The sequence below is a fragment of the Homo sapiens genome, chromosome X (assembly GCF_000001405.40).
Source record: "Homo sapiens chromosome X, GRCh38.p14 Primary Assembly".
In the NCBI taxonomy this organism is placed as follows: Eukaryota; Metazoa; Chordata; class Mammalia; order Primates; family Hominidae; genus Homo; species Homo sapiens.
In genome coordinates this window covers 107,989,049-107,997,874 of record NC_000023.11, presented here as the reverse complement: position 1 = coordinate 107,997,874, position 8,826 = coordinate 107,989,049, and the positions used below count along the sequence as shown (strand labels likewise).

Here is an 8,826-nt window from a genome sequence, read left to right as displayed (position 1 = left end):
GTGTTGGTTGGCCTCCAGCCAGGAGGTGGTGCTTTCAAGACAATGTCAGCTGCGGTAGTATAGGGAGGATATAAGCTTGCCCTAGGGTCAGGTGGATAAGTATTCGGGGTGTCTCAGGCAGAGGGTGGGGCCATAGAGCTTTCAAGAGATTATGCCCTTTGTCTTCAGCTACCAGGGTGGGTTGAGAAAGACCATAAGGTGGAGGCACGGTTGGTTGTGTCTGAGCTCAGACTCTCCTTAGGCAGAGCTTGCTGTGGCTGCTGTGGCGGATGGGAGTGTGGTTATCAGGCCAATGGAATTACGTTCCCAGGGGGACTATTATCGGGGGACCTGCCCCGATAATCACGTAGGTTCTTTTCTATTTTCCTAAGCATCGGCTGGCTTGAGAAATAAAAGGACAGAGTACAAAAGAGAGAAATTTTAAAGCTGGGTGTCCGGGGGAGATATCACACGTTGGTAGGATCCATGATGCCCCACAAGCTACAAAAACCAGCAAGTTTTTATTAGGGAGTTTCAAAAGGGGAGGGAGTATACGAATAGGTGTGGGTGACAGACATCAAGTACTTAACAAGGTAATAGAATATCACAAGGCAAGTGGAGGCAGGGCGAGATCACAGGACCACAGGATGGAGGCGAAATTAAAATTGCTAATGAAGTTTCGGGCACCATTGTCATTGATAACATCTTATCAGGAGACAGGGTTTTGAGATCAACCGGTCTGACCAAAGTTTATTAGGTGTGAATTTCCTCTTCCTAATAAGCCTGGGAGCACTATGGGAGACTGGAGTTTATTTCACCTCTGCAATCTCGACCATAAGAGACAGGTACGCCCCGGGGGGGCCAGTTCAGAGACCTACCCCTAGGTGCGCATTCTCTTTCTCAGGGACGTTCCATGCTGAGAAAAGGAATTCAGTGATAATTCTCCCATTTGCTTTTGAAAGAAGAGAAATATGGCTCTGTTCTGCGCAGCTCACCGGCGGTCAGAGTTTAAGGTTATCTCTCTTATTCCCTGAACAATTGCTGTTATCCTGTTCTTTTTTCAGAGTGCCCACATTTCATATTGCTCAAACACACATGCTGTACAATTTGTGTACTTAACGCAATTATTGCAGGGTCCTGAGATGATACACATCCTTCTTGGCTGACAGGATTAAGAGATTAAAGCAAAGACAGGCATAGGAAATCACAAGGATATTGATTGGGGAAGTGATAAGTGTCCATGAAATCTTTACAATTTATGTTTAGAGATTGCAGTAAAGACAGGCATAAGACATTACAAAAGTATTAATTTGGGGAACTAATAAATGTCCATAAAATCTTCACAATCCACATTCTTCTGTCATGGCTTTAGCCGGTCCCTCCGTTTGGGGTCCCTGACTTCCCGCAACAGACTATGGCTGTCTCTGCTGTGTCATACAGGTCACCAGGGAAGTGGGGGAAAGCAGCAGTGACAGGTCTCACCGGGCTCCCACACAGCCCAAAAGGCCAGTCTTACTTCCACCATGCCCCCGCCAACTGCACTGAGTTTGTTCCCAGGCAGCTGGTGAGCAGGGCTGAGAACTTGCCCCAGGCTACAAGCCTCCCCACTGAGAAAGCAAGTAGGGCTTTCAGGGTTCATGCTTCCCTGCCTGCCACAGTTACCTTGCTTGTATCCACACTCCCCGTTTGCTCCCTCCCATGGATTCTGTCCAGGAAACTTTGCATTCAGTCAAAATTGTTACCCAGTTCAGCTAGAAGTTTCCTTCTCCCTGTGGGCTTTCCCCAATTCCACTGACAGCCCACCCCATGGATTCCTGTGAGACAAAGTCAGGAATGGCTTCCCTGGGGACTGAGAGTGCCCACAGGGCTCTTCCCATTGCCTCCTATATCCCTGTATTTTGCTCAGCTCTCTAAATTCAACTCAGCTCCAGGTAAGGTCAAATCCTTCTCCCATGATCTGGATCTTCAGGATCCCCAGTGAGGATATGTGTTTAGGGGCAAATGTTCCCCCTCTCACACTTTGGGCGCTCACAGTTTTTCATCTGTCTCACAGAGCCTGCAGCAGCAAGCCACTTCTTTCAAAGGGTCTGTGGATTCTCTCAGCTTTCCTGGTATGTTCCTGCAGTAGTTCTTGGAGCAAAAGTTCACGATTTGAGTCTCCTCTGCACACTACCCTGTCCATCCAAGTGGGAGCTGCAAGTTAGTCCTTCCTCCTACCTGCCATTTTTCCTGATGCAATATTTTTGTGCCTTTAAATTTAGGGACTCTTATTTCTTTACTCTTTTTTGTTTTTGTGTTTTTAGACTGGGTCTCACTCTGCTGCCCAGGCTGGAGTGAAGTTTTTTTGTTTTGTTTTGTTTTGGTTTTGGTTGTTTGTTTAAGAGACAGACAGGTTGGAGTATAGTGGCTATTCACAGGAATGATCATAGTGCACTACATCCTCAAACTCCTTGGACTCAAATGGTCTTCCTGCTTCAGCCTCCTGAGTAGCTGTGACTATAGGCACATGCTACCACATTTGGTTACATTTTTTTATATTTCTGCAGTGGAGCAGAAGTATATATTCTGGGCGAGGACAATGTTGGAAGCTATGCTATCTAATAGAACTTTCTGTGGTGATGGAAATTTTCTGTCTGCACTATCTGATATGTTAGCCACTAGCCACACATAGCTATTGAGCACTTAAAATGTGGCTGGTGCAAGTGAGAGCTGATTTAAAATTTTTATTTAATTTCAGTTAATTTAAATTTCAACAATCACCTGTGGCTAGTGGCTACTATATTAAGCTGCACGAGTCTAGAGAGTGGACATGAAAGAGGATGTCTAAAATGGAGGCAGGTCAAGGTCATTATGTTTCAAAAAGTCAGGAACTGCTAGGCCAATGGTTTGGAGTAATAAACCATTTGGACTTTGAAACCCCCCAGGACAATGAGATGAATGTTGGCAAGGAAAGATATGTGTTAGAGGCCAAAAGGCCTGGATTACTTTGGGGGCATGACCAGTGGCCAGGCAACAGAGATGAGCTGTGGTAAGTGATTGATTCATCTGGCATGGGTTAAAGTGGTGGTTCCAGCAAGGAAGACAAACAACGGCCTGGAAACAGCCTCAGGAAATCTAGAGAATGCCAGCCCCGTCTCCAGTCCCTGTATTAGAATGGGCATCCTCCACTCTCCACTACTCCAACAGCGTCCTTAGAGAAAAGTTGAGTCAAGTAAGGCAAGGAGGCACAAGTAGCATTTGGTGACAAGGGTGAGCATGTAAGACAGCTTGTTTACCACACAACAAAGAATCTGGGGAACATAGTAGAAATATTTATGAGAAAAGGAAGATGTGGAAAGAAGGGCTGGGATAAGAAGCACAACCTATAGGAATATGAGAGACAATGGAAGCAAAACTGCTCTCCAAAAGTCTGCCCAGGTGGCAGTAGAGCTGTCTATTTTTCTCCTTGGAAAAAGGTTCTGTTGCCCTAATTATACAGCTTTGGAAACTTTTTGGCAGGAAGATTAACTTTTTGGAAGCAAGCAATGTATATTACACTTTTCATAAAAATTAACATTTTGTTTAACAAATGTTTTTTATTGTAAAATACACTTAACATGAAATTTACCAATTTAACCATTTTAAAGTGTACCATTCAGTGGCACTTAGTATATTCATAATCAATAAATGGTTTTGAACATAAAAAGGATGTGGGGGGCATTTGTAGTGGTAGCCAGTGATAGGACTCTAGTGGGCTTCACTGTTATCAAGGTTCCAAATGAAATGAAAGTATAATGTCAAGATACTTCAGATTCAGTGCTGGCTGAAGTGCAGGTGATACAGAAGCAGGTGGTGATTCTGGTTTGTAGGCACTGAGCTGGGTACAAATACTTTGTTCACTCAAAAATATTGTATAAGTGAATATTGAGTCCAGTTCTCTCCTTTTGCTTCTGAAGAGCACAGTAACACATTATTCTGAGCCACAGAAGTTAATTAACCCTCTATTAGTCTTGTTTTCTCATGTATAAAATTGACTAATATTAATAGTTCCAGAACTGTCATGAAGATTAAATATATGTAGAATGTGTTAGCACAGTGCCTGACACATACTATACTCTTAATAAATGGTAGCTATTATCATTATTATGTTATGGGACTGGTCCAACTCTGCCTTTTATTAGAGCTATTAGAACAATGGTCATATCCCCTCTGTTGAACTAATCTTATTAAGGGCAGGGATGGTACACACTGATCTTTTCATACTCCATAGGTTCAACGCATAGTAGGAAGTACAGACACATTTGTTGCGTGGAATAATTGTTTTATGTCTACCTCTTCCTTCTTCCTCTACCTCTAGCTGAAGTCTGTATGAAGATGTTTGATTGTTAAGAGCACAGGTTTTAGAGTCAGATATAGGGTTGAATTTTGGCTCTGCCACTTACTACCTGTATGGCCTTTGGCATATTACTTGATGGCTCTGAGTCTCATAAGTAACATCAAGAAAATAAATATCTACTTCATAGAATTAGATAAGAAAATTTAGTAATGTACCATGCCTGTACAAGAATTAGTAGCTTCTTATTGTTATTAATATTAACAGTAATAATTCCTATTGCTATTAATATTATTGATATGGTTTGGATCTGTGTCCCTGCCCAAATTTCATGTCAAATTGTAAGGTGATTGGATCATGGGGACAGTTTCTCATGAATGATTTATCACCATCCCTCTTGGTACTGTCCTCAAAATAGTGAGTTTGTTCTCATGAGATATGGTCATTTAAAAGTGTGTGGCACCTCTCCCTTCAATCTCTCTTCCTCCTGCTCCAGCCAGGTGGCATGCCAGCCCCCCCTTTGCCTTCCACCATGATTGTAAGTTTCCTGAGGCCTCCCCAGAAGCCAGGCAGATGCTAGCATCATGCTTCCTATACAGTGTGCAGAACCATGAGTCTGGTCTAGGTTCATGGTTCATAAAATCTCTTTTCTTTATAAATTATCCAGTCTCAGGTATTTCTTTATGGCAATGCAAGAATGGACTAATGCAATTATTAATATCTGTTTCTTTTGGAAAAGGGGGCATACCCCCAGCTCATTCTAATGGGGATTAAGGAGTGGTTTGGTGAGGTGGAGCATGAGACATTCCCACTAGGGAATGGAACATGTTACTGCACCTCCAACTCATTCAGGGAAGGTTTTCTAGAGTTAGAAAAGCAAGAAAGACACAGGAGAGTAAGAGAAACTGGATCAACTATAAATAAAACTGGCAAGTAGGTGACACTTGTTAGTGGTGTACACCTTCTTTCCCCAGGCCATTACCTCCTTCTCCAGTTTAGGCACTTACAGATATGCCCAGACCAAGCCTGCCATGTTGTCTACCAGTGCTCCAGAACCTCCTCTTCCCCTCTCCTCTTCTAACTACTAGAAGTCACTTGTTCTGTAAGTTCTAGACTCCTGGGAAACAGTCAGGAGCTAATATGCTAACCTAATTAGAGGTCAGGTGTTAACAGGCTGCAAATAGTTTCTTGTTTCTTGACCATAGAGTGCTTTCAACCACCTTATCTCATGAGACTTGTGGTGAAAACTGAAGGCCTGGGAATGTGAAAAGGATCAGGTCTTTGGGCGAGGAAAACTTTCCCATGCTGCATAGGCAACTGCTTACTAAGCCCTTGGGTAGAGTGAGCCTTGAAAAAAAGAAAAAGAATGTGAAGTGAAATGAGCAGGCCCTTCCCAGTAAACTCCTTTGATGTCCTCAAAGTGGTAACAACCACAATAAACACCTCGAAGTTGCTACCACCCCCATTAGTGTTTACACATTATTCTTGTCGACAGTATCTTTTCTGATCTTCTCTCCCTTAAGGATTTCCTAACCCCTGCTTGCCTCAGATCCAGAGTCACTGCCACCTGCAGTTGCCACAAACTGGTAGACCAGCCTTTCGCTTTCTATCATCTTTGAGACTCAATTCCAATTGTAGGCCTGCCTTTCACCAGCCATCTATCACCAATGAACATTTATTGAGCACCTAACGTGTGTAAGGCCCTGTCTTTCCTTCCTGGCTACTATTGAGACTGTATAGTGAATGTACGGAGTTTTATTCACAAATGTGCCACTAGTTATCCCACAGATAGAGACATGTTTAGGCTATTTTTTCCATGAAATATGCAACTTTCAATTGATTTACCCACCTGGTTCATTTTTTTGAAAAGTGTACAAACGAAGAGTCCAAGGACTGGGTTCCAAGATGGCCGAATAGGAACAGCTCCAGTCTACAGCTCCCAGCGTGAGTGACGCAGAAGATGGGTGATTTCTGCAATTCCAACTGAGCTTTGAAGAGAGTACTGGTTCTCCCAGCATGGAGTTGGAGATCTGAGAACGGACAGACTGCCTCCTCAAGTGGGTCCCTGACCCCCGAATAGCCTAACTGGGAGGCACCCCACAGTAGGGGCAGGCTGACACCCCCCACGGCCGGGTACCCCTCTCAGACGAAGCTTCCAGAGGAACGACCAGGCAGCAACATTTGCCGTTCAGTAACATTCCCTGTTCTGCAGCCCCTGCTGCTGATACCCAGGCAAACAAGGTCTGGAGTGGACCTCCAGCAAACTCCAACAGACCTGCAGCTGAGGGTCCTGATTGTTAGAAGGAAAACTAACAAACAGAAAGGACATCCACACCAAAATCCCATCTGTACGTCACCATCATCAAAGACCAAAAGTAGATAAAGCCACAAAGATGGGGAAAAAAGCAGCAAAAAAGCTGAAAATTCTAAAAATCAGAGTGCCTCTACCCCTCCAAAGGAACACAGCTCCTCGCCAGCAATGGAACAAAGCTGGACAAAGAATGACTTTGACGAGTTGAGAGAAGAAGGCCTCAGACGATCAAACTTCTTTGAGCTAAAGGAGGAAGTTCGAACCCATGGCAAAGACGCTAAAAACCTTGAAAAAAGATTAGACAAATGGCTAACTAGAATATCCAGTGTAGAAAAGTCCTTAAATGACCTGATGGAGCTGAGAACCATGGCATGAGAACTATGTGATGAATGCACAAGCTTCAGTAGCTGATTCAATCAACTGGAAGAAAGGGTATCAGTGATTGAAGATCAAATGAATGAAATGAAGCGAGAAGAGAAGTTTAGAGAAAAAAGAATAAAAAGAAATGAAAAAAGGCTCCAAGAAATATGGGACTATGTGAAAAGACCAAATCTACATCTGATTGGCATACCTGAAAGTGACAGGGAGAATGGAACCAAGTTGGAAAACACTCTGCAGGATATTATCCAAGAGAACTTCCCCAACCTAGCAAGGCAGGCCAACATTCAAATTAGGGAAATACAGAGAACGCCACAAAGATACTCCTCGAGAAGAGCAACTCCAAGACACATAATTGTCAGATTCACCAAAGTTGAAATTAAGGAAAAAATGTTAAGCACAGCCAGAGAGAAAGGTCAGGTTACCTACAAAGTGAAGCCCATCAGCTAATCTCTCTGGAGAAACTCTGCAAGGCAGAAGAGAGTGGGGGCCAATATTCAACGCTCTTAAGGAAAAGAATTTTCAACTCAGAATTTTATATACAGCCAAACTAAGCTTCATAAGTGAAGGAGAAATAAAATCCTTTACAGACAAGCAAATGCTGAGAGATTTTGTCACCACCAGGCCTGCCCTAAAAGAGATCCTGAAGGAAGCACTAAACATGGAAAGGAACAACCGGTACCAGCCACTACAAAAACATGCCAAATTGTAAAGACCATCGAGGCTAGGAAGAAACTGCATCAACTAACGGGCAAAATAACCAGCTAACATCATAATGACAGGATCAAATTCACACATAACAATATTAAACTTAAATGTAAATGGGCTAAATTCTCCAATTAAAAGACACAGACTGGCAAATTGGATAAAGAGTCAAGACCCATCCATGTGCTGTATTCAGGAGACCCATCTCACATGCAGAGACACACATAGGCTCAAAATAAAGGGATGGAGGAAGATCTACCAAGGAAATGGAAAACAAAAAAGAAGGCAGGGGTTGCAATCCTAGGCTCTGATAAAACAGACTTTAAACCAACAAAGATCAAAAGAGACAAAGAAGGCCATTACATAATGGTAAAGGGATCAATTCAACAAGAAGAGCTAACTATCCTAAATATATATGCACCCAAGACAAGATCACCCAGATTCATAAAGCAAGTCCTTAGAGACCTACAAAGAGACTTAGACTCCCACACAATAATAATGGGAGACTTTAACACCCCACTGTCAACATTAGACAGATCAGCGAGACCAAAAGTTAACAAGGATATCCAGAAACTGAACTCAGCTCTGCACCAAGCTGACCTAATAGACATCTACAGAACTCTCCACCCCAAATATACATTCTTCTCAACACCACATTGCACTTATTCCAAAATTGACCACATAGTTGGAAGTAAAGCACTCCTCAGCAAATGTAAAAGAACAGAAATTATAATAAACTGTCTCTCAGACCACAGTGTAATCAAACCAGAACTCAGGATTAACAAACTCACTCAAAACCATTCAACTACATGGAAGCTGAACAACCGGCTCCTGAATGACTACTGGGTACATAAGGAAATGAAGGCAGAAATAAGGATGTTCTTTGAAACCAACAAGAACAAAGACACAACATCCCAGAATCTCTGGGACACATGCAAAGCAGTGTGTAGAGGGAAATTTATAGCACTAAATGTCCACAAGAGAAAGCAGGAAAGATCTAAAATTGACATCCTAACAACACAATTCAAAGAACTAGAGAAGCAAGAGCAAACACATTCAAAAGCTAGCAGAAGGCAAGAAATAACTAAGATCAGAGCAGAACTGAAGGAGATAGAGACACAAAAAAACCCTTCAAAAAATC

At 42.8% G+C, this 8,826-nt stretch overlaps 2 annotated features.

The window, feature by feature from the left end:
* Nucleotides 1,117-1,822: an enhancer, noted in NCBI's record as "NANOG-H3K27ac hESC enhancer chrX:107239283-107239988 (GRCh37/hg19 assembly coordinates)". NCBI's record gives its function as "activates a minimal SCP1, AML or CMV promoter by ChIP-STARR-seq in naive H9 embryonic stem cells {active_cell/tissue: H9 hESC(naive)}" and the evidence as "EXISTENCE:reporter gene assay evidence [ECO:0000049][PMID:30033119]".
* Nucleotides 5,557-6,756: an enhancer, noted in NCBI's record as "BRD4-independent group 4 enhancer chrX:107234349-107235548 (GRCh37/hg19 assembly coordinates)". NCBI's record gives its function as "activates an origin of replication core promoter dependent on BRD2, P300/CBP, MED14 and CDK7 cofactors, and independent of BRD4, by STARR-seq in HCT116 cells {active_cell/tissue: HCT116}" and the evidence as "EXISTENCE:reporter gene assay evidence [ECO:0000049][PMID:35650434]".